The sequence below is a fragment of the Homo sapiens genome, chromosome 2 (assembly GCF_000001405.40).
Source record: "Homo sapiens chromosome 2, GRCh38.p14 Primary Assembly".
NCBI classification, from domain to species: Eukaryota; Metazoa; Chordata; class Mammalia; order Primates; family Hominidae; genus Homo; species Homo sapiens.
The window spans coordinates 137,032,520-137,059,708 of record NC_000002.12 but is presented as its reverse complement, the minus strand read 5'-3'; the positions used below and the strand labels follow the sequence as shown (position 1 = coordinate 137,059,708).

The following is a 27,189-nucleotide window of genomic DNA, read 5'->3' as shown; positions in this document are numbered from 1 at the left end:
ACCAAGTCACAAACAGACATGGAACAAACTTAAATGCGTATTGCAAAGTGAAATAAGTCAACCAGAAAAAGCTACATATATAATTCTAACTATATAACATTTTTTAAAAAGGCAAAACTTTGGGGACAGTCAGTAAAATGGTCAGTAGTTGCCAGGGGTTCTCAGGGAGAGAGGGAAGGATGAGTAAATAGAGTAGAAGGGATACTTAGGGGAGTAAAACTACTCTGTATGATACCGTAATTGTGGATCCATGTCATTATTCATTTGTCAAACCAATAGAATGTACAATACAAAGGATGAATCCTAATGTAAACTATAGTCTTTATTAACAGTAATATATCAATATTAGCTCATCAATTGTAACCAATGTACCTGCTGCACACTGAATTGTGTTCCTCCAAAATTCAAATGTTGAAACTCTAACCTCCATTTTGAATATGGGAAATTTCTAATGTAATCAGGTCATGAGAGTGGAGCCCTTGTGATAGGATTGGTGACCTTATAAGAAGAGACATAGAGTGCTCTCTTTTTTTCTCTCTCTCCCCCACCATGTGAGGACACAGCAAGAAGATGGCCATCTTTAAGACAAGAAGACAACCTTCATCACGAACTAAATCAAGACACACCTTGAATTTGGACTTTCCAGCCTCCAGAACTGTGGAAATAAATTTCTCATTTAAATTCCCAAACTATGGTATTTATTTTTATAACAGTTAGTCTTCGGCAATTCAAGCTGCTATAACAAAGTACCAGAAGCTGGATGGCTTAAAAAACAACAGAAATCTATTTCTCACAGTTCTAGAGGCTGGAAGTCTGAGACCAGGGTACCAGCATAGTCACATTCTGGTGGGTTCTCTCTTCTGGCTTGCAGACTGCTGACTTCACATTGTATCCTCAAATGGCAGAAAAAGAGTGAGAGGAAGCTCTCATGGCGCACTAATCCCATCTATGAGAACTGCATCATCACGACATAATTACCTCCCAAAGGCCCCATGCCTCCTAAAAACATTACACTCATGGTTAGAATTTCGATACATAAATTTGGGGAGGGGAACACAATTTGAACTGTGTTATGCACTCAATGTTTGTGTATGTAACTATGAAATGTTTGTTTATGAAACTATCACATGAATGCAAGATGTTAATAATAGGAAAAAACTATATGTTGGAGACAGGGAGTATACAGGAACTCAGTACTTTCACTCATTTTTTCTGAAAATTTAAAAATTGATCTGAAAAATCAAGTCTATTAAAAAAAGAAAAACACTGCAAAAATGCACAAACAAAATGAAAAGATTCTATGTAATGCTCACTTCAGCAATACAGTACGGAATATTAAGAAAACAATGTATTTACACAACCCCACACACATTCAAACAAATTGCATGAATCTTTTGCTTAATCTGGACTTCAAAGAAGTAGGCAATAAAAAGCTGCAAATCACTCTTCAGTGGACTTGCTAATTTCATATGGCACAAATCAGAATGAAGTATCAAGGATAAAATATACTCATTTGTGAAGTCAAATGGAAAAAAAAACAATCATCACATTACTTTGTTCATAAACAACAGTGGTAGTCTTCTGGGCATCTCCTGGTCAGCTGTGGATCCCAAGAAGGCAGCAACTGATGAGAATGATTAATTCTAAAGACAAGCATTATGTTGTTTGGTAATTTAAGTACTATTGAAAGGCATCTTAATTTGGAAGAAACTTAGTAATACACAAATGCTTCATTTAAGACCCTCTGAGGTAAAATTAAACAAATACTACTTTCAATATATTTCTGTGAGTTTATGTCATGATGTTTTAGACTACAATTTAAAATAAAACAAGCATAAATTTGAAACCTAAGCTGTTGCTTTAATAGTTTATTTCTTCTCCAGTACGTCATTCTAATTACTGCTTGCGCAAGTTAATACCTGTATCAAAATAACGCCAAAGAAAGCACTCTTGGAACAACTTTTCGGTATTATTGCTAGTATAAAAAATGTACAACACAGATGTCAAAGAATGTTGATAACAGTGGAAACAAAAGTAAACAAATAAAAACAAAAATAAAATTTTAAAGGACAAATGTTCTGAAAAACAAAAATATTTACATAATTCATATCCCACATTTGAAATTGAACTTGAATTTTTATCATTATGAGAAGCCCCTTAGTCTTCTATCACTGTTGTAATGGCAGATCTATTTTTATACTAGTTACTGTCTTGATAAAATGTGGAAATATATGACTTATCCTATATATATAATTGCATTACTAATCACACAAGAATGCTAGAACACTGCTTGGTCTAAACTATGCAATTTTGAAAACCTCCCAGTGAAATTAAAAATTTCTTACATGAAACTTCTAAAAACCTAAATTATAAACCTCGTTGCCATTTTCGCTTTGTAGAAAATCATAAAGAAGCTTTATAAAGTTGCACTATAAAATATTTTAGGTGAATCAAATTCAAGCATCAAAGGTCTCCTACCTTAACATAGCATTTTGTCCATCACTTCTTGTACACGAAACCTGCCGGGTTTGATAACCTATCTCTATTGCCCAAGACTTCGAATGATGATGTGCTTTGTAACTTTGATGTTTAAAGGTGACTCGCTCATTTGAATCAGAGTTAAAATCCAGAACAGTTCTTCCGCTTGGATTAATTTCTTTAAGATGAGGCAGTCTGCATTTACTCCATGGTCCAACCTTAAGGCTAAATGTATATTCCTCTTCCCCAAGAGGACAGGAAATGGGAGCATCACAGGCTCTTGACTCAGTCAGATTTGGACATTGCAAACCACCAAAGAGAGGGGGAGCTATGACCGCGCGAGTTCTATGCTGCAATTTCTTCCCACATCCCTTGCTACAGTTGGACCATGGTAAGAACTCAGATACTACACAATCCCGGGGACAAGGAATGAGGCAAGCCTGTTCTGTAGGAGGCTGAAGGGCAAAGTGTTCGCATATTTCATTTGCAACCACAGTTCGGTTCAGCTTCTGAATGCAGCGCACCATCCGGTGCTGCAGTCCATGCTGAGCCGTCACACACTCTGCAGTCCGAGGCTTGACTTCACCGCGAGCGTAAGGAACAAGCACACAGTGGTGCCAGTCAGAAACCTCCCACTGAAAGAGGTCACTGTGCCAGTCACAAACTCGGAAACAACTTCTTTCCTTTGGAGGCCTGTTGCTCTCACCACAGTTAGACAGGTGACTTGTCCACCCGTCAACATGAAAACACCACACTGCCCGACTCTGGACTCCTCCGGGACCACAGTCTCCTGTACACCTTCCCCACGGACCTACAGGCAGAAAAACAAGGATGTTAATTACTCAGAGATTACATTCAGCAATTCACAGGTAAGTAGAAGTCAATTAACACACTTTCCAACACAAGCAGTATGAAATTAGGAATTTTGGTGGAACAGAGACAACATAATTTAGTGGTTCAGAATGTGGACACTCTTGTTGAAATAAGCATTCCATCAGTAATGTAAACTTGGATGAATTATTTCAACTTTCTAAGCCTTAGAAAGTTCCTCACCTATATAAGGTAGAAGATAATAAAAGCACCGACTTGTAGAATTGCTCTGAAGATAAATGATACAATGTGTCAAGTAGACAATACAAATTTAATAAATGATTGGTACCATTATAACTACTACGTTCCAAAGCCTATACATCTAACTCAATATTAATACTTTCCACTGAGGTGGTGTTTCATTCAAAAGAAAAGCCCTAAAGCCAGGATTTTAATAAAGTAGAATTTTTCATATTTCCAGTCTTTCAGCTCAAACTCTAAGAAGCTCAGAAGAGAGATATGTTTAACACCCTAAGTTGCCAAAGTATCCTATTTTCATTTTCAAAATAATTGTCCTCAGTTTTGGTTAGTACTTGCAGAGAGAATTGCATGAAAATAACAATGGGGTGCAGGGGAAAGGTAAGGTAATAAGAGAAGCAGCAGCACTGAATTGTCTGTGGAAATTCTGCCCCTAGAATCCTTGAAGTGTACTCATTTTGATTTCTGATGGGTACTGATCCAGGTACAGTTTCCAACATTAGCTTGTAATATGCCAGATCTTTTAATTAACTAATTCATTTGTGTAGGTAAGAGTCCAAGAAATGGACAGATGAGGGAGCTGCCCATTGACGTTTATCATATTTTTTGCATCTCATCTACAGACATACCAGCAGGCCTTATCCAGAAAGTTGGTATCTTTTCACAAGGACAGTAAGTAATCACATTTTGTGTCAACAACAATGAAAAAAATAGTTTCTTCTCTTTCATTTTATTTAAATATGTAATCTGAACCTGTTGGTGGGAGTGTAAATTAGTTCAACCATAGTGAAAGACAGTGTGGTGATTCCTCAAGGATCTAGAACCAGAAATACCATTCAACCCAGCAATCTCATTACTGGGTATAAAGGATTGATCCCAAAGGATTATAAATCATTCTACTATAAAGACACATGCACACGTATGTTTATTGCAGCACTATTCACAATAGCAAAGACTTGGAACCAACCCAAATGCCCATCAATTATAGACCGGATAAAGAAAATGTGGCACACGTACACCATGGAATACTATGCAGCCATAAAAAAGAATGAGTTCATGTCCTTCACAGGGACGTGGATGAAGCTGGAAACCATCATCCTCAGCAAACGAACACAGGAATAGAAAACCAAACACTGCATGTTCTCACTCATAAGTGGGAGTTGAACAATGAGAACACATGGACACAGGGAGGGGAATATCACCCACCAGGGCCTGTCGTGGTATGGGGGGCAAGGGTGGGGAGAGCATTAAGACGAATACCTAATGCATGCGGGGCTTAAAACCTAGATGATGGGTTGACAGGTGCAGCAAACCACCATGGCACATGTATACCTATGTAACAAACCTGCATGTTCAGCACACATATCCCAGAACTTAAAATTAAAAAAAAAAAAAAGTTTTATCAGCTTAACTAGGTACCTTTGCCCCTGTCTCAGGACTGTGATGATCATAAGGCACTTCAGACCCTAAGAGGCATATGAATTTACACAAGCTCTCTCTCTTTCCCTGAATCTGACCAGCTTCCCCAAATGATGTTTAATTACTCCATGAAAAATATTTTCATTAGCATCCACTACATTTGTACAAATAGTAGACATGTACGTAATCACATGCATTTAGGAAGAAACATATACATCCCCAGAGAAGCAGGTTATCTGCACTGGGGCCACACACTAAAATGAGGATCTGTCACTTTAGTAGGACAAAAGGGTCCGGTTCTAATGCAACTAATCATCTCAATTCTTCCTCACATCCCTGTTCTAGCCATATACACCTGGCATTCTTGGCAATAGCATGTCAATGCCTTCTGCCACTTTGTGAGAGAGATTAACATAGAAAACATACTAGAGACTTCTCTTGCTGAAACAGAACAGGTTTCACTGGAGCAGGTCAGCTTTCATTACCAAAATGCCCCTGAGTTTGCCCACTACCTTCCTCCAGTCTGTTGTCCCAGCACAGACTGCTTATAGTATAGAGAACACGCGTTGAAAACGGTGATCTTAGCACGGGCTGACTTAATCAGCCACCCACAATTCTGGTAATGTAGATTACTCACAATTCTTTACTTTGCAAATTGAGATGTTTCTTGTTACTTGAAAGTGATTGGGAGGCTTTCTCTGTCCTAATGTTCTAGAGAAGTTTCAGTTTAAGTGTTCTATTCATTGTCCATCATGTCAGACCATTCATATAAATTTTTATTATTGCCCCAAAATTCCCACAGTTACTCAGTAAAGGAATATTTCAAAATATATACAAACACAGCAAACTTTAAAATCTAAAATTAATCTTGAATAATATAAAACAGTTATTGGATAAAGTTAAAGGAAATTTTTTTTTGTAGAGCACTGTGGATTTTTAAGTAATGGCTGTCAGTTTATCTCTATTTGATTAGGTATTAAGCATACACAATTTTCCACTCAGGATTTTTTTTGCATGGATTAATGAAAGTAAGATCAGAAAAGTTGGACCTATTTCTGGTCAATCTTCAAAAGTTAATATTACACTTAATTCATTTAGAATATCTGGCCAAGTAACTCTTGTCTTTACTTTTAAAGCATTTGACTATGACATTCTCTTTTTTTTTTTATTATAAATTCTCCACTTTCAAAATAAGCTATCTCTTTTTTGGTTATTTGAAATCATTACTATTTTAAACTTTAGAAATATTATTCTTCCCTTAGATTTCATCTCCTCTTTCTTTACAGAATTTTTCCAAATAATTGCTTAGCCTTTTGGCTAAGATCAAATGAAGAATTTCATCAAGCAGCAAAATTTTTTCTGCATCATTGGAGAAAAAAAGTATAACTATTAAGTAATTAAAATTGCTATATTTGAAGATGTTTCTTAGCTTAGCCATGATCTCCTATTTGGATATGAGTTAATCCAAAATTAACTCACATCCAATATTAACTCTAAAAATTATCCAAAGGAATATTAAGCTATATTAATTTTGGATATGAGTTAATTCAATATTATGCTATATATGTTAATATTCATTTGGGTATGAGTAGAACAGGTAATGAAGGCAGTATGTAAACAATTACTCCCCACTCCTTGGCCTGGAAATTTAGGATAGTGGCTCTTATGAGGTAAGACACATGCATGTTAATAAACCTTGGTCAGGACATTTAGAAAGGCAGAGTCAAACTAGAATAGTTCCTCCTTATATTAAAGCAAACTTTGAGGACAACCAAAAAACATGTAAATAACAAGCAAATGCAAACTGAATTGTGCACACATGGAATAAATGAAAAACAAATTACAAACAAGACATATGAGATGAAGACAAGACCTTTCAGCAATTGACCTATAGCCATTTGCAGTTCTCAGGCATGGAGAGAAAATGTGCTCCATGATTTATTCAGTTGTATTTGGCTATGAACTTTCAATACATACATGAGTGAAAATCACACAGCCCTAAGGGGTTTTGCCATTTCAAAAAAACATGAATATTGAAGTAAAATGTGACTGGCAGTTTGAGAAATCTTACATCTCTTGTCCAAGTTCACAAATAAAAGAAATAATTAAAAATGTAAGCAGTTGCATGAAGAAAGAAGAATATTACCTTTACATTTATTACATACAAAAAAACCTTGCTTTTATTACAAAATATATATGTATTATATATTAACAGTATTCACAAATAATCTAAAGAAATACATAAGAAACTATGTTTTTAAATGTCAAGAATTTTTATATGCCTAGTGAAAAAAACAGACACCAAGTAATAAAAATAAAACAAAATTTAGAATAATTTAAGTATTAAAAGTTTGACTACTGATGTAATGTAGCTCTAAACCATTAATAAAACTCATGCTGGTTGCTTTCTCAGAAAGTACTTCAATGATGTAATGGGGACAGTAGTTCTGTATCTGTTTACTTGGGCAAACATTATGTAAAGAGTCATATATCTGCAACTTGCTACCCTTTTTGTGAGAGGAATATAGCTGCTGTTGAATAGTCCAAGTATTTTAAGCCACATCACACATTAACACATTAAAATTTTGGCCTAGAAGTGAATTCTTTGGACTTGGAAGGGTAGCACTGATGAACTCGCAGGTCACTTTCAAATTTAAGGCTCTGTGATTTGTCTTTTTTTCTGCCTGTGTTTTTGCAGGAAATGCAAATATGTGAATGCTGTAATGTGAATGCTAGAAGCAGAAAAGCACAGGCAAATTTTATCCTCTTAATTAAGTCACCCTTAACTGGATTAGTTGGGGGCATGCATCACCCAACATAAATCATCACATTTAAGAAAGCATGCTGGATGCCTGAATTTTAGGTGTGGTGTTCAATAAAATGCCTGAAACAAACGAAAAAGGAGGCTCCAGAGGACAAAGAAAATAAGCACACTCTCCATAGCTCTTGCACAGTACTGGTCACTATTTGAAGTGGCAACCCTGATTTAATACCATGCATGCAATAAGAAGAGATGTTTGCTTTATTTTTCATTTTTCCCTGTCACAGCTTTTATTATCCTGACATTGCTTTATTTTTAACTTGGGCAAGGGGTATGGGGAGATGACATGAATAATGATGCAGAGTTTTAGCAACTTAAGCAAACTATTTGTGAATAATTACTAAATCAAAGCACTCATAAACCTCAGAATTACAAAATCGGATTTAAAACAACATTGACTTACTTATAAGATGCTTTACTTCCAATAGGTTAATGTAGTGACTTTTACTTCTCAAAAAGCTACCGCATCAACTACGGAATAATTAAAATAACACCTCTCTTATATAGCAGACATTTATTTAAGAAAGTTCACTTTCTAAAATGCATCTAAGAACCCAAGCAATGAGAAAAAGTGACATCTGAACATTCATTCATTATAACAACAATTATTCATTCTCTGTTACTTGACGAGTAGTGTATTAGATTCTGAGAATACAAAAATAAATAAGGCAGTAAATATCTGTTAATGCTGTGCACTAAGTGTAACACCAATTTACTCCTGAAGAGGGTGTTTGGTCCTTCCTTTAGGCCTATTTACACTTACTTTATACACAGTATTAACAATCTTAATGCTTTTGTTTCCCAGAGCTCACTAGATCTATAGCAGCAAGCCAGAAGTTGAGAGTCAGCCCTGGAGGCAGGCTCACTGATGGAAACAGGAAGGGATGAGAGTTTCCAAGTCTATATTTCTAAATCAATCATGATCATTAATAACTTCCACTAGCAGCGGATGCACAAAGTCACTCAATACTTTCTAAACTAGCAATGAAAACCTGCTCATCAGATATATCCATTACTGAGTTACGCATTGGATAATACTAAATAAAGAAAATACACAAACATACGAGAATTTAAATGAGAGGAAACTTAAGCTCTGTTGCATTTCATTAAAAAATTCCATTTGCACTTTTTGCAACAACAAAACACATTTCAGTTATATAAAAATCATTAAAAAAATAAAAAACATTCATGGTACATTCATGGCCTGAATATGTGTGTTAAAGTATTCCCATAAATCTCAGAAAAATTCAACAGCAAAAGTAACATATACAACTTCATTTTCACACACTTAAAGATTTACTTATAAAGGTAGTTCATGATTCCATAGCAGACTACCGCAGAGCATTTGGATGGAATATTTATACCTCAAGTAAGCATAAGCTTTGTTGCTAATGTTCCCAGCTCTTTCTGTATGATTGTGTTTTTGTTTGGCACTAATAGCACATTGTAAATCCATTTCATCTTTGTGGACAGATGCCTCTGACTGAAAAGCAAAATGCCTCTGTTACTTACTTTTGATTACAAATTATTAGTCGCCAGTGTCTAGAACATCCATTAGAAGTAGCTCGACAGCAAAGCAGATTAGACATGTATTTGAACCACTTATCAGCTAATGCAAACATCACGGAGACAGAAAACCACCTTTTAAAAATTGTTTATCAATATTTCTGGTTTGAATGCTACTTTCTAAAAATTCTAAAGCCTAAAAAAAGACTCTCAAACCTCATATATTTCACAGCAATCTGACACAAGTAGGTCTTTAGGATCACTAAAACCTACATCCTGCTAACCTCCTAGAATGTAGGAGTGGCAAGAGAATCTTACAGCCCAGAGTTTTTGCAGGAAAAAGCAAAGCCTAGACAAATTCAGTGACTTGCCCAAGGTCACACAATCATTTGGAGCAAAAATGGGGCTGACAATTTTATTTACACACACCCAATCCAGTGATTTGTAACTCTATATCACGCTGGTTTCTATTAGAACAGTTCTAAGACTGCAAGGGAAGAATAAGGGCTCCATAAATGTTGCAGTCTAAGGTGTGGGTGAGGGAAGAGAGGCCAAAAAATCTCAGCATTAACAAGCAATTTGTTGTTTGTGTTATACAAGTTTATAATGTAATTTCCACTTGTTAATTCTGGTCTTTGGCCTCTGTGACTGTCTGTCACCTGGAGCAGATAGCTGCTCCCAGGGTCCCTTCACTATTTGTTATGTGAAATGAGATCCTTCCTGCCTTTGTTTGCTTGAGAACATCAGTCAAACTGCTGCTCAAGTACATCCAGCAAGATTCAGGGGTTTAGCACAGGAATGAACCCTCAGACAGCAATCAGAAATTATGTGTCCCTAGAATAACAATTACAATAATAGTAATAGGCATGGTTTATTATTTCTGTTTTTGTTTTTTTGAACACCTACTATCATCTTCCCAATACCATATGTGCCTTATTGAAATTGTTCTGCTTTGCAATTGAGGACATCAATGCATGAGATCAAAGAACCTGCACAAGGTAAACAGCTCAGGTGCCCTCTCCAGTTCTATCTTATTCTAAACGTCTTCCACAACAATTGCAATTTAATTATTTGTAGCAATGATATCCCTTGAGCAAATGGGGCTTGCAAAGCCATTGGGTAAAACATATTTAGAAGGGAGTCTGATTTGAGTGCAGCTGGTGTGTGGGGCCGAAGGCCCCGCCACCCGTCTCTTGCCGAAAGCCCCTGCCCCTGTCTCTGTCCAGCTCAATGCCCTGGTTCGAGCGATGGCCTCAAAACTCTCGGGGCTCTGCTACCTGTCAAAAGATATTTATGAAATGTTTTCATCCCATAAATATGGCTTCACTCAACTTTGACTTTACTTACAATAAATGCTTCAGCTAAGCCCTTTGGATTCCCTGGAGAAGTGGAAGAAAATCATTTACTTGGCTGTTTTGCATCAGTTAAATGGAAATGGCAATAAAGAGTAAACCAGAAAGAGAGACCAGCTGAATCCCACACAACGTTCTCCTGAAGGACTTTCTCCTTGAGCTTACAGAAAGCCTAGGTATTGACTTCACTCAAGAGGACCAGATATCTGTTCGCTTTATACTACACAGAAAGCAAACTAGAAGATGTTTTAGGGAGGCTGAAAATTTTAAGCTGCGTCCCTGATCAAAAAAATGAGAATAAAGTTCTGTTTACCCAGTGAATGATCAATACATGCTGAACTTGATAAAGGAGGCTTTCTTTTATGTTGTCTACTAGAGGTCAAGGCAAGGCAGTAACGTTGGGACTATGCATACAAGCTTTAAAAATACGTAAAACAAAAGGGCAGAGAGCATGCAAACATTTCATTTACCATTACGCAACTCAAGAATTAATTTTGCCTGAGACAAAAACTGCACAAGAGCATACCCAAGACAATATTTTCCCTAACTTCAAGAATCAACCACTGTAACAGATACATGGAGTATATTTGTACCTGAACCCATATCTCTTTCTAGTAGCAGATATTCATACCATATACAAGTGAGAACAAACAAGGTACTGGCTGCATTTTGGTGGACAGAACATTTAGTGCATCTCATTTTTTTTCAAAGGAATAATTTTTTGTTTTGAAACTGCAATTTTAAGACTGTGAGACTCTGGTCTGTAAAATAATTTTCAAGCTAGCATTTTTTTAAAAAAAATCTGAGAAATAGCAGTAACATTGTAACTGAGTAGTTTACTTTCAAAATGCATTATAAAACTTTTTTCTTTTCTCCTTTCTTCCCAGTGTGACCATATAACCATGAAACAAACTGTTCTCACTCATAAGTGGGAATTGAACAATGAGAACACATGGACACTGGGAGGGGAACATCACACAACAGGGCCTGTTGGGGGGTGGGGGGCAAGGGGAGGGATAGCATTAGGAGAAATACCTAATGTAGATGACAGGTTGATGGGTGCGGCAAACCACCATGGCATGTGTATACCTGTGTAACAAACCTGCACGTTCTGCATGTGTATCCCAGAACTTAAAGTATAATAAAAAAACAAATAAAAAACTGTAGAGACCTTCTTCCTTAGTCTTAAAATATAGTCTTGAGACACTCCAAAACTCCACTCCCTTCCCTTTCTCACCATGTACTCCTTTGCCCTATGCACATTTATCTAGCTGTGTGCTTGTTATCTAATTATGTGTTTACTTAGAAGTTCCAGAGGCTAATCTTGAGACAGACCAAGCCTGGAGACTTAGCTGCAAAATTCCAGAGATTACCTCAAAGCAACAACCTGGCATTGTTGAGATGATGCCAGCCGCACTACTGGTGGACCACGGCTTGAGATGGCCACTGGAACAAGACACGTGGACCTTGTATTCAGCACCCCTCCTGCATGGCTCCCATTCCAAGTTCCTTTTTTTAGCTCCTCTTCCTAGTTTAAAATTAGAAGCAGTTTCTGGAGGCATAAGCCAGTCACTTCTCCACAGCTAGCTTTAGAAATAAAGTCACTTTCCTTTCACTGCGCTTTCTCCTCATTATTGGCTTTTCAAACAGTAAGCACCTGAGCCTGTGCTCGGTAACAACATGGCATAATCACAATATTGTTTTCTATCGAGAATCAACTAAAACACCTATATACCCAGTAGAGTCAAATGGGTATGCTGAAGACTTTCAGGAAGGTTTACAAAGATCAGATTCAATCACCCACCAGCTCTGTCTCCTAAACATTATTTCACTCTGCCCCAGTTTCTTCATCCCATTCCACCGCCACCTGCAACCTTGGCGCAGACCATTGCTTTCTCTCGCATGGATGAAAGGAGTATCCTCCCATTCCGCCTTCAAGAATCCACTGCTGCACCCCACTCCACCCCTGCTATCAATTCCTTTTCCCTATTGTGGTCCTATAGGACCTAATTATATCTTTTAATAATTCAAATTTCTACCACTTTGGGTGCAGCATGTCATCTGTATATCATTTTCATGTGAAAAGCTCATCAACAGCTTCCTGTTCCTTTCAAAATAAAGAAAAACAATATTATTAACATAACATACAAGTGCCTGCTTGATCAGGCCCATCGTACTCCTTTAGTGTCCTGATTTCCTGGCCCAGCCACCTCCACTCACTGCTTTCTCACCACACTGGCCACCTTTCGGTTCCCCCAATAAGCCAAGCTCCTTCCAATACCTGGGCGGCCATATGGACTGTCTTTTAATTTTTTTTTTTTTTTTTTTTTTTTTGAGACGGAGTTTCACTCTTGTCACCCAGGCTGGAATGCAGTGGCGTGATCTTGGCTCACTGCAAACTCTGCCTCCCAGGTTCAAATGATTCTCCTGCCTCAGCCTCCCAAGTAGCTGGAATTACAAGTGCCCGCCACCATGCCCAGCTAATTTTTGTATTTTTAGTAGAGACGGTGTTTCGCCATGTTGGCCAGGCTGCTCTCGAACTCCCGACCTCAGGCGATCTGCCCACCTCGCCTTCCCAAAGTGCTGGGATGACAGTCGTGAGCCACCACACCCCGCTGGGTCTCTTAAACCAAATTAGACGCACTGCCTGCTACAGCCCAGTAACATTCATCCCCACTCACCCTTTAGATCTCAAGGCATGTCTGTAGAGAACTCTTCCCTCTGCTCTGATAGTACTTTATTCTCCTACAAAGCATTCACTCTTGCAATTACAAATCTAATTGTAGAATTCACTGTTTAATACTTGTCTCTCTCAGTTGACTCTAAACTCCATGAAAGTAGAAACATTTTCAACCTATTCACTACTCTATTCCCTGTACTAGCCCAGCACTAGGCATACAGTTAGGGTCTAATTAATATTGCACATTACTGAAGCTAGAACAAGTAGCATCATAGGCAGCAGAATCATGTCCAAGTGTAGTTAGGTGCAATGTCAACACTAGAAACTCACAACATCAATGGGTTGATGATTTTTCCAAAATGAAAAAAAAAAGTTGAAGAGAAAAAGTCTCTTCTCTGTGTTTCCTCAGTTTATGATTGTAGGTAGAAACCTGTATTCTATTGGGCACCTAATAATGGTGCCCAACAGAATTTTTAAATACTGTTTTTTCACAAATCCTTTTGCAATGCCTGTTATTCTTTGTTGCAACTCTATAGATCCCTTCTTCCCAGTCTCCATAAAGCCCATGGAATATACAGCAATGGGGTACCCAGTCTTCTCAAGGCTAGCATGGTAATGTACTAAAGCACCCAAGACTACAGAAAAACCCTTGATCTTAAGTATAGCTCTAATGAGAATGATGCAGGAATCTCACTCAACAAGTAAAATATTATCTTTTTCCTTGAAGAATGTAAATAAATGAGAATTGCATATCAGATTCTATTATACCAGCTTACTACAGTAGTTCCTATTTATCTGTGGCTTCACTTTTTGTGGTTTTAGTTACCTATGGTCAACTGCAGTTCCCAAATACTAAATGGAAAATTCCAGAGATAAGCAATTCATAAGTTTTGAATAATATGATGAGGTCTCACTTTGTCCTGCTTATGTTTCTGCCTGGGGATGTGAATCCTTTCTTTGTCAGGTGTATCCACACTGCAGATGCTGCCTCTCCACTAGTCACTTAGCAGCCCTCTGGGTTACAAGATTGAATGTTGCAGTATGGCAGTGCTTGTGTGCAAGTAATCCTTACTTTACTCATAATGGCCTCAAAGTGCAAGAGTAGTGATGCTGGCAATTCAGATACACCAAAGAGGAGTCATAAAGTGTTAGCTTTAAGTGAAAAGGTGAAAGTTCTAGACTTAATAAGGAGAAAAAAAAAACAAGTCATATGTTGAGGTTATTAAGATCTACCATCTGAATGAATCTTCTACCTGTGAAATTATGAAGAAGGAAAAAGAAATTCATCCTAGTTTTGCTGTTGCACCTCAAACTGCAAAAGTTACAGCCACAGTACATAAGTACTGAGTTGGAAAAGGCCTTAAATTTTTAGGTGGAAGACAGGAAGAGAAACATGTTGCCATTGATGGCAATGTGTTGCACCAGAAAGCATTAAGCCCATAAGGAAGACTTCAACAAGGGATCCCCTGAAACAAGTGACACCAAGCCACTTGCTGCAAGTACAGAATAGTGACATGGATTCAGGAATTCAGAAGGTCAGTGGCAGCCTAACACTATGTCACAATGCCTACGCCATTCACCTCCCTTCATATCATCGCACAGTCATTTTATCCTTGTTAATTTTAGGATCCACATCATCACAAGAAGAAAGATGAGTATAGTATGAGACATTCTGAGAGAGAGAAAAAGAGGGACCACTTTCACACAGTTTTTATTATAATATTATTACTATAACTGATCTGTTTTATTATGGTTATTAATCTTATTGTGTCTAATTTAGAAATTAAACTTTATCATAGGTATGTATATAGGAAAAAACATAATATGCACAGGGTTCTGTACTAGTCACAGTTTCAAGTGTCTACTGGAGGTCCTGGGACATATCCCCCAGGAACAAAGGTGGACTTTTGTACAAGAAAAGCTAAAAAGTGCTGGGAGATGAAATTATCATGGTGGTCACAGGTTCATCATAGTAACCGCAGCATCAATACACCCAGTATTATCCTGGACACTTTACAGCAAACATGTCATGCAGTCCTCAAAGCAGCCTTACAAAGAGACTAATTTTAAAAAGAATTCCTGGATGCCTAAAATTCCCTGGATATCTTCAGAAAAATTGGCAGAATAAATGAAAAGGGGGTGAATGTAATATTTTTAGAGATTGTTGATATGATTACATTCTCTGATATCCAGGAAAATAGATCTAAGAAGAAGTGAGCCAGGAGCAGCTGTGCTTCAAGGCTGTTAATGTGGACCACTCCTCTGCCTGAAGAGGAAGGAGGAGAAGCTGAGAAAAACCCCAGAAGCAGCGAGAAAGCTGTCAGGATACAGGTTCCCGACTAAAACCTGGAAGATTCTCCACAAAATGTCTTCATGCTCACACCCTAGAGGAGCGTGGAGTGAGATTATTGTTCTGAAGGGTACAGTCTAGGTCAGAAACCTAGTACTCACCTTCAGTGTGGGGGTTAAAGGATGGGAGAGATGTGTGTAAGAAGTAGGTTTTGTTTATAGAAACAGATTTATTAAGAGAAGATGGTGGAAGACATTTTTGAATTATCAACCTAAACAATTGTTTCCTTCCACCTAATATTTCTCTTTTCCCCCTTGCCCCTTTTAAACAGGTCATCAGTGGCCCATGCTCATGTTCTCAGACAAGAGGTGTAATAGAGCAAAACGTCAACACAGTCCAACAAGCCTCTGGGGTTTGTGTGCAAGCTTCCTAGGCCATTATGTAGGTTACCTTGGGTATTTCTGAGGTAAGGAGTCTCTGCTTCTGCCACACACCTCCTGCCTCAAAAAATACATATAATTAAAACAAAAGCTTCCTCTCTGCTCTTCTCCTCCTCGGAGCAAAACTGATAAGAATCGAAATTCAATGTCAGTGAGAGACCCTTTACCTTGCTTCCCCAGAGAACGAATGGCTGCCTAGGGTGACCAGGCAGAGCAGGCCGAGGTCACTGAGAAACACCTAGGACTCAGGTTGAGCACAGTGGAAAAGTACCATAAAGAACCAAGCATGGTGCAGAAGCTCTAGAGAGAGTCTCCAGCCAGCCTATCAGGAAAAAGAGCCCTCTAAGCAGTGACCAGTTTCAACTGACTGACAGCTGAAGAATGGTGAACTTTTCAGAGGAAATAATTGGGGACCCTGGCGGTAGGAAGGGCTCAAAGTAAATAATCAAAGTAAGTTAAAGAAAATGATATTCCTTGCACATCTAATTTGTTTGGCTGAGAGGAATACCCACTATAATAATCACCACCATGTATAATAATTAAAGAAAATCAGAGATGTACTGCAATAATAAATACATCCCCAACCAGCCCAGGGGCTGACAGACCCATGGGACATGCAAACCTTCGCTCAATAGTGCACTGAGAAAATCTATCCTCATTACCCTTTCCAAGCTGGGCGAGCACACAGCAATGGCCTGCAGCCTGTGTCAACTCTTTTTAGCCCCTGCATTATTGGAATTTCCCAGAGTGCTTTGTGAGAATTCAGCTTACAAAAAAAGTGAATTGAAGAAATGTCATTTGAATTACGGAGGGACTTTACAATTACATAATGAAAATAATAATTATAAGGGCTCATTAATCACTTGTTAGGGTCAATGTTAGCTCAGGCTATTGAAAAGAAAATGCTGAGTTTTAAAAGTTCCTGGGGACAAGCGAGTACTATGCTGTCCCCTGCCTTTCCTGGATTAATCATCTCATCTGATTCCAACTGAAGATAACATATTATTACTTAGGATTTTCCAAAATGTTTTAAGTGGAACCACTGTACCCTCTGAGTTTAGTAAGAAAGGAGGATCCTTGTTATTAAATAAATTTGGGAATGATACAGGGTTAAACAAAACTAAAAGTTTTCATTTTTAAAGGACTCCTCCAGGCTTTTAATACATAATGTGAATCCTCAAGAATTTATCCCTAGTGTGCAAAGGGTCACAAACTTCTTTCCCTGTGTAACTGTTTCCTGGAGGAAAAAAAAGAGAGAGAGAGAAATATTTTGCATGCATGATACTTTCTTATTGTTAGGTTAGATGAGGTAAATGATCTTTTTTCTTAACCTCAATGATTACAGATAACATGGAAACATTTTTATAATTTCAATTTTAGGATTCATATCTCATAAGTTCAGGTTAAAATCCAATTTCCCATCCAAAGCCTAGCACTTATGTCCTTTACAGGATGTGAACACATAAAACCACAAAACAATGAACACATCAGTAAAAGTCCGAGATCTGCCACATGTTCACAAGGAATAAATGTGAAGGTAGAACGCAGGGCAGAAATCAGAATATTTCAGGGGTATCAGCAGAGCAATTGTTAAAGTCCTGAGACATGAGATCAGATCCCATAGAAGAGTGACAAGGCTTAATGTTATAAAGGCACAAACTAATTCAGAACAATCACTGAACATGTGCCTAATTTACAGACCGTGAAAAGGCCCTACCTACAGGACATGCTCTCTAAGTTCAGATTTCCTACATCCTTTCAAACATACCTTGTGCTGTGCTGGGGTTTTACTTCAGGATATGACATGATGTACTTTATTGGCCACACATTAGCGAATTATAGCAATATAATCATTGCTTCCAATTTTAGAACACAGCATTATTGACTCTGTGTGCTATGCCAAGAACATTACATGAATCCAGTATTATATTAATATAACAATACATAAGAAACAGAATTGGCTTATATATTAATATAATCATAACATATTATATGTTATATTAAATACATATTATATAATATTGCATAATATATTACATATATTTAAGCCAATTCTGTTTCTTACGTACGATGTAGTTTTTGTTAGTATATATGTGTTATGTATTTTATATATATGTGTGATATAATATGAAATTCTATTATAAACTATATTAGATATAATATAAATGCATGTATACATTCTTCTGTGGGCACATACATTCATATTAATATATATGTATGTTGCCAATTGATTCTATTATAGTATTCTTAGTACATTTTGTTAGTATACTTTAATAGCCACATCTAATATGTATCACCTCAATGACCAAAATTACTGCTTATCTGCACCCCTTATGCTCATCCCATCATCAACAACCTCAAGGAGACTTCTGCTTCTTTTCCTTCTATGCAAACAAATGTGTGACTATCCCCTTGAATACAAACAGGAAAGTACTGATATCCTACAGTCAAAGAATTTTAGTTTTTTATCCACGCAGAGACCACATAAAAATTGATTAAACACACAACAATATTCCTGAACCATCCACAAAATATGAATTTACATTTATTTTAGAGTGAGCTGTACCCTGTTATATCCTTGTTCTCCAAAAATCAATAATTAAATCATGGACTAGATACGGAAATTTAATATTGACCATAAAATTCTATTCCCTTGGCACCAACTTACTGTAACATGCCATTAGAACTCTTTATTCCCCTTGTGATTTCAGAGAATTAGTTTGAGTACCTCATAATTCCTGTCCTGATGAAACACATTATCAAAGCTTATACCACTTTGGGGTAATTGAAGTCTACACTTCATAATCTACATGAAGATTTACTTGAGCTTTTCTTTTATTCTGTTCAAGACAGATGTAGGCTCAGTAAGAGTCCCTCTTTACTTTTTTCTAGCTGACCACATAAGCCATGGGGTACACTGAGTGTGAGATCTACAGGTCTCAGAAAGAAATATAGCTACCTCTGCTGAGCGCGGTGGCTCATTCCTGTAATCCCAGCATTTTGGGATGCCAAGGCGGGTGGATCACGAGATCAGGAGTTCGAGACCAGTTTGGCCAATGTGGTGAAACTCCGTCTCTACTAAAAATACAAAAAATTAGCCAGGTGTGGTGGTGTGCACCTGTAATCCCAGCTACTCGGGAGGCTGAGGCAGGAGAATCACTTGAATCTGGGAGACAGAGGCTGCAGTGAGCCAAGATTGCGCCATTGCACTCCAGACTGGGCAACTGAGGGAGACTCCAACTCAAAAAAAAAAAAGAAGAGGAAGAAAGAAAGAGGAGGAGAAGGAGAAGAAAAAGAAATATAGCTACCTCTTGGGCTAGTTTCCTCTAGCTTCCACCTAGAGGAAGAGAAGAATCAAAATAAGCTTTCATACTTAGTCTGGGAGAGGTGGCCATCCCACACCTCCTGTCCACCTTTCTACCGGAACACATTTGTAAGCATTGTCCAGCCCTTGTAGCTCTCATCAAAGAGTTCCTTTGGGAATCAAACACTCCATTATTCCTCTGTAACCCTGCTTCTTTCTTGAGGCAATTTCAATAAGCCATGCAGGGCATTGCTCACAGTGCTGCCAAACCTTTTGCTGTACTGTGGGGGTGATTATTACAGAAGTGAACATTTGTCAGTGATCTGAAAGCCTGGCCTGAGCAGGCAGTGGGGAAGGAGCAGAGGTTCCATAGAAGCAGTCAGCTACAACCAGAAAACCAACACCCTCTGACTAGCTGGGCACAGCATGTGGACAGAAACACAATAGAGTAGGCAGGCTCTGCTCACAGTGCCTGATAAATCAGCCTTAAATGCTTACATTCATTTGTTCTTCCAAATACCCAAAGCAAAGAGTCAATGGCAGTAAATAGTTTAAACGGGGGGAAGCAAGTTTGTAGAAAGTGCTTCAGAGCTATACAGGCTTTAGTCCAAATCCTGATTTTGCCATTCAGCACTGTGTGACCTTCAGCAGGACACTGTTTGCTTTAATCTTCAATGATCTCATCTTGTAGGCATATAAAGACAGAGACAAGTATGGACGCTCCTAACACATGGAGGGACCTGAATGAATAACAAGTCCATGTGGGAGGAATTGTCTGTTACCAGGCTTTTGCTGTACAAAACTTCCTCAAGTTTGGCACTTTAAACATTTGGGGCCAGATAGTTGTTGTAAAGAGTTGTCCTGTGCATTGCAGGATGTTTAGCAACAACCTTGGCCTCAACCCTTTAAATGGCAGTATCACCAACCCCCTCTCCGCTTATGGCAATCAAAAATGTCTCCAGACATTGCCAAATGCCCCTTGGGGAGCAAAATCACCATAGCAGAGAACCACTAATATAGACTATTAATATATCGTTTAATCCTATCAAAAATCCCTGGAAATGGGTGACTTTTCATTCTACAGAGAAGCCACATTACCTATCCAGGATCTCAGCAGTAATAAGGGGAAGATTCAGGACAGTGATCCAAGAGCTTGAAACCCATTGCTATTCTCCACATCTTTAAAATGTGTATTTTAAAGAAGAATAAAAGAAGTGCCACTGATGTATATTCAGCAGGCCAAGTTCAACTTCTGGCTGCACAGAGTAATGTTTACATAACTGTGTGCTTTACCCATCCTCTGTTTTTATTCATCTTCAAATAAAGAAATTTTCAGAACTATCCCTCTCCATCAATTTCAGTGCTAATTCATAAAATTCCACTTTATCTTGCTCAGTCCCTTTTCTAGAAAAAAAACCTCTAGACTTTGGAATCAGCCTGCATTTGAACTGTGGCTGCTCCACTTTCTAGGTGGGTGACTCTCAGCATATAACTTACTCTCACCTTTATATCCTACAGAAAAGCAAACTGGAATGTGCCAACTTCACAACAGTGTTGACAGCCAGCTCCCCACTATAGCCTGCTATGCAGAGCCAAGGTGAATGGTACAGATTGCAGTTGTAGACTGCAACCCTGCCTCCTTGACCCTTTTCTGCAAGGCCATCTCTAGAAGTAGTAGGATTCTTTCCTCCCCATTTAATCTGCCTTGCCTATCCACATCCTTAAAAAATGATTAATCTTATCTTCCCCACAGAAACACAACTTAGAAATGATCCAACTTCCTCCAATTAATTTAATACAAATTAAACATAACCCAGCTGTTCCGTCTAGTCTAAGACTAAGGGACTTTGGAAAAGGTCCCAGCAATGATGCCTGTGAGTGGCCAAGGGCAGTGGCAGCTCTTTTCCAAAGGGATGCCGGGCTCATCAGCAGTGTGGATTTTCCATGAAAGGTCAGTGAAGACCTGCTGCCCATCACAGAGAAATGGCTCTTCTTCATCAGATAGGTTTAAATGTGACCATTTAGCTTTCAACCCCTTCTCTGTGGTGATTTTGAATGAAGAAGTTTTAATAAGATGTTTTAAAAAATCTCTTCAAGAAAACGTCAAATATTTCAGTCTCTTTCCACTCCTAGAACGTCAAAAACCATGAAACATTCTTGTAAAAGGAACATACAACAACTTTCAGGGACATACAGCCCTTAAGTTCCCAAGTGATAACTACCACCATAGGCCCAATTTGGGCCCAAAATGCATAATAAGGAAAAACTATGGATTAGAGTTCTATCCTATGTTAAAATTTTACAAGGTAAATAGTAATAATAATTATCTGATTCTCCAAAGGAAGCAATCAACAAAACATTTTTTTTTATTTTTGCTAAACATTACATGAAAATCTTCACACATAAAATATTTGGGATTATCCTTCTCATAGGTGACATGGCCAACATGGATTCCATTAATCCATCATCTGTGACTTAAAACATCCTCCTTAATGTCCATAAAAGTTATTTTTAATGTCTTCTTAATATCATTTCTCCATACTGTATATAGGACATCCAGCTAATATAAACTACACTGTTTATGCTACTTTATCACACAGTTGAAAATGTGAGAAAAAAAATATTAAGATACAATTTGTTCATGCAGAAAGTACTTTAGCCAAATAAATCCATATTTATCTTCTTAAAAGACTAAGAAAAACAGGCAAAAAAGCAGAACTGTGATTTCCACCTCTGCAATTCCCCACCTGTCAAATCAAGACCTGTTGGGAAATAAAAATAAGACCTCTTTTTAGACACAGAAGTGTGAAAAATGATAACAGCGGACTGCATTTACATGGAAAAATATACTAGATTCATAAAGCCCTGTCCTTTTTGAACAAAAGTACAGTATTCACAACATGCCTTCTCTATGTGCGTGTGTGTATATATATATACGTATACATACATATATCAGTTCAAAAACATGACCTTCATTTTCATACAGCTCTTCATTAGTCTAAGCTAAGAATCTAGTGTCCATTTATATTTAGATCGTCTTAATATGTAAACAAAAAATATTCAGAGTTGGAATAGTACTATTTGCAGTACTCACATATGTAAACTTAATTCAATTCAGGGTTATGTAACTGCTATGTAGAAAATGTAGATGTCAGAATTATATCAGAAATGCCAGAAATAGATATTTAAGATATCATCTCTGCCCTCAGATTGCTTGGAATCCCTTAGGGGAAAAAAAGGACTTAGTCAAAAATAATGTTAATGCAAAATATTATGGAGTAGCTATGCTAACCAATGTACAAAGGCTTTAGGAACACTGAGTCAGAAAATTACTGAATCAGGAAACAATGTTTCATGAACAGCAGAATTTTATAACTACACCTTCTTCTCAGAGAAGGAAGAGAGAAGGGGGGTGATGTGAGCAAGGTTTCAGAAGAAATTAGTGAAAGTAATTTATACCAAATGGTCTTGATGTGCTCAATAAAATGAGACATAAGTGGACAGAGAAAGGTTCAGCCCAGCCACTGTGCGGACAGACAAGAACTCCAGTAGAAATGAGTAATTGTACTTCCAAATCTGCTGTCTGGCATTACACTATGCAAATATTTAAAAGTTACCTTGTATCTGCCACAGATACCCTTTCAGCAATATTCCCCTACTTGGCTAAGTCCCTCTGGGAAAAGAATGTGCACACTATTTTGATTTAAACTTGCAGTTCTTTTACAGGCACTGTACAGTAATAGAGGTATTGGAAAACAGCCTTATTTAAGCAAGAGTCTACTTGAAACAGGTATGTCTTTTTATATTTCTGAAAATTATATTTATAAGCCATAATAGTTACTTCAAGTATACTGAAATGAATAACCAGTCTTTGACAACATTAGAATGATAATATATTTCCTTCATTCTCATATAGTCACTCATAAATTTGATAGTGTAACTGAGAAGGAGAAATGAATATTTCCATTAAAAAATTTGCAAGTATTCTATTTGCCATGTTGGTGACATAAAACAAAGATGTAACGAAAAGATTATACATGTTGACATTTCATTAAAAGCTCTGTGGACATTTGTATATGGCTATTAAGCAGGAAGCATAAGGAAATGAAGATTACCTTTCAAAGAAAGAAACTGTAAGGTAGTTCTATGGAATGTTTTGATATGAAGAGTGAGTATTTCATGTGCATTAGTGAAAATAACTAAGAATTGCAGCATTCATGATAATGTATTTAAAATACCTGCATTACATATAAAAAACTCTGAATCACTTAATTTTTTTAAAGCACCTAGTCATTTGTTTTAAGTGTTTGCACATTTTGAATATATGAAAGCACATTTTATGTACTTTACAGTACTGCTGATGTGGTAGGTAGTATATCATCTAACTACTGCTGCAGCAATTCTGAGGTCAAAGCTATTGCTTTTGGATTTGATACATTTTGTACATGATTTATGGATTAATTTTATGGAAAATATGTAAGCTATATGTCCCAAAAAGCATTTTATAGTGTTATAACAATAAAACATTATAGTTATGGGATGCCCTTCATTGAGGCATATCAAAGCCCTTTCCTGACATTAGTTAATCCTTCTAATATCCCTCAGAGGCAAGGAAGTATTGCCTGCGATACTTTTTAAGAACACAGAAAGCACTGGGGATTTTCACCAGTCTACCTGGGTTTAGAGCTACTACAAATCATCAGTGTATTTATTCATTCATTCTACCACCTATCATGAGCCCTAGACAAGTTGGTAGGATCTCAGGATAGAATGGTTTAAAAAAAAAAACAAAACAAAACAGAAACACTATCCCTTTCCACTCCCTTGAAACTTAAGAGTGTAAAGTGTAAGATGTTTTCATTCATGAGGAATAAAAAAATGTTATGACATATCTCTTATCTAGAACCTCACCCTGGCCATCTAGAAACATGCCTCTCTACAATATCTTCTACTAGCAAAAAAAATTAAGATTCTAGGCAGCAAAACTGCATTGCAAAAAGGAGAGCTCCTCATGCCACAGAAATTATTGAGAATTACTTTACATACGTCCCTAACAGATGTAGGTCAATTGGTTTCTAGTCAAGTAAAATGAGAAAAGAGATGGGTATGGTTAAATGGCTGTTAGAAGTAGGTACATCGACAGCAAAGATAACAAAGATGGCCTAATGATAAGAGACACACAACTTCCAAAAAAAGGGAAACGATAAAGTTCAAAGTTCACAGACTTCTGAGACCAATTAGCATCAGGGCCTCAGAGTTCTGGAGCTCATTCTTCCTAGACAACATTGTAGCACGTTGTAGAGCTCTTTTAAGAAAGAACCATTGTGGAAGACAGTGTGGCGGTTCCTCAGGGATCTAGAACCACAAATACAATTTGACCCAGTAATCCCATTACTGGGTATGTACCCAAAGGATTATAAATCATTTTACTATAAAGACACATGCACATGTATGTTTATTGCAGCACTATTTACAATAGCAAAGACTTGAAACCAACCCAAACGCCCATCAATTATAGACTGGACAAAGAAAATGTGGCACATATACACCATGGAATACTATGCAGCTATAAAAAAGAATGAGTTCATATCTTTTGCAGGGACATGGTTGAAGCTGGAAACCATTATCCTCAGCTAACACTGAACACAGGAACAGAAACCAAACACGGCATGTTCTCACTCATAAGTGGGAGTTGAACAATGAGAACACATGGACACACAAGGAGGGGAACATCACACACAGGGGCCTGTTGGTGGGGTTGGGGGCAAGGGAAGGGAGAGCATTAGGACAAACACCTAATGCATGCAGGGCTTAAAACCTAGATGACGGGTTAATAAGTGCAGCAAACCACTTCGGCCCATGTATACCTATGTAAAAAACCTGCATGTTCAGGACATGTATCCCAAAACCTAAAGTAAAAATTTAAAAATAAATAAAAAGAAAATTTGGCTGGGTGTGGTGGCTCACGCTTGTAATCCCAGCACTTTGGGAGGCTGAGACGGGCAGATCACGAGGTCAAGAGATCGAGAGCATCCTGACTGACATGGTGAAACCCCGTCTCTACTAAAAATACAAAAATTAGCGTAAGGTGTAAGGAAGGGATCCAGTTTCAGCTTTCTACATATAACTAGTCAGTTTTCCCAGCACCATCAATGATAGGCTGGCTTAAGAAAATGTGGTACATATACACCATGGAATACTATGCAGCCATAAAAAAGGATGAGTTCATGTCCTTTGCAGGGACATGGATGAAGCTGGAGACCATCATTCTCAGCAAACTATCACAAGGACAGAAAACCAAACACCGCATGTTCTCACTCATAGGTGGGAACTCAACAATGAGAACACTTGGACATGGGGGGCGGGAGGTGGAACATCATAAACTGGGGCCTGTTGTGGGGTAGGGGGATTGGGGGAGGGATAGCATTGGGAGAAATACCTAATGTAAATGACTGGTTGATGGGTGCAGCAGGCCAGCATGGCACATGTATACCTATGTAAGGAGCCTGCACATTATGCACATGTACCCTAGAACTTAAAGTATAATAACAAAAAAAAGTGTTAAAAAAAATTAGCTGGGTGTGATGGTGCGCACCTGTAGTCCCAGCTACTTGGGAGGCTGAGGCAGGAGAATCGCTTGAACCCGGGAGGCAGAGGTTGCAGTGAGCCGAGATTGTGCCACTGCGCTCCAGGTCTGGGGACAGAGTGAGACTCTGACTCAAAAAATAAATAAATAAATAAAAATAATAAAAATAATATCTAAGAAAAAAACTCCAAGTAGTCAACCCTCCCTGTATCTACTCTCTTTGCAATATGACTTTACAACAATTCCATCAGGAAGTGGAGTCTACTTCTCCATCCCCTGAAACTGGGCTGACAATCTCTTTACTTACCTTGGCCAAAAGATGTGATGGAAGTGACTGTCAGTTCTAAGAGAGGATTCAAGAGACTTGTGCACTTCTGCTCACTGTGTTAGAACCTTGCTACTGCCACCTGAACCGGCCTGAGCTAGCCTGCTGGAAGATGAAGGACCACTTGGAGCAGAGAGGAGTCACACCACTTACAACCATCTTAGATAAGCCAGCTTCTAGAAGACTCTTTAACTGACTAGAAATGTCAGAGCAAGTTCGGCCTAGAACAGCTAGGTCTAGCCAGTATCAGCAGAACCACCTGGCTGGCATGTAGACACATATACAATAATATTTTTAGGGCCACTGAGTTTTAGAGTACTTGTTATCAAGTAATAACTAACTGATGTAATTTAATTTCAGCACATATTAGCTATTCCACATAACAATGAACTTGAATCATTGGAAAAATTAAATTCTGCCCAGTATCCTCTGTTTAATAAGGCAGATAAACATAAAGATGTTTTAGAGATATTTCCATTTGAAGTGGCCATTAAAAATACATAAAGAAAATAATCTGAAAACCTTGAAAAGTCCAGCTATCCAGTATGGTTCATTCCCAAGGATGGCACATAATCTTAATTTTACTAGACATGAAAACCAGAATTTTAACAATGATAAATTAAAGGATACTAAACATATTACATGATACTTTTATGCATTATAAATGATTAAATGACTCCAATGCACATTTAAACTATAATCTGCTTTCTAAAATCTACCTTCCAAGCAATTTTTCAGAAATACAGTTATGTGATAGAGGAGCACCTCAGGTTTATCATTATCAGGATTTGAAGCCAACTAGGGCCTGCCTACAAGAACTTTTATACTAAATTGTGTGAAAAAGCCAAGTTTATTAAGTGTCCTAACACATTCTAAGGTAGTCAAGAGGCTATTCTGAGAGAGAGAGGGAGAGAATAAGC

The 27,189-nt window shown here is 37.8% G+C and overlaps 1 protein-coding gene across 2 annotated transcripts in view; it reads right to left on the bottom strand.

The window, feature by feature from the left end:
- THSD7B (thrombospondin type 1 domain containing 7B) overlaps window positions 1–27,189 on the bottom strand; it is a 912,174-nt gene that overhangs the window by 618,010 nt on the left and 266,975 nt on the right. For both annotated transcript variants that reach the window (NM_001316349.2, XM_047445935.1), the window contains exon 3: window positions 2,479–3,289. In NM_001316349.2, coding sequence (NP_001303278.1) covers window positions 2,479–3,289 — 811 coding nt within the window. The remainder of the gene's footprint in view (window positions 1–2,478; window positions 3,290–27,189) is intronic.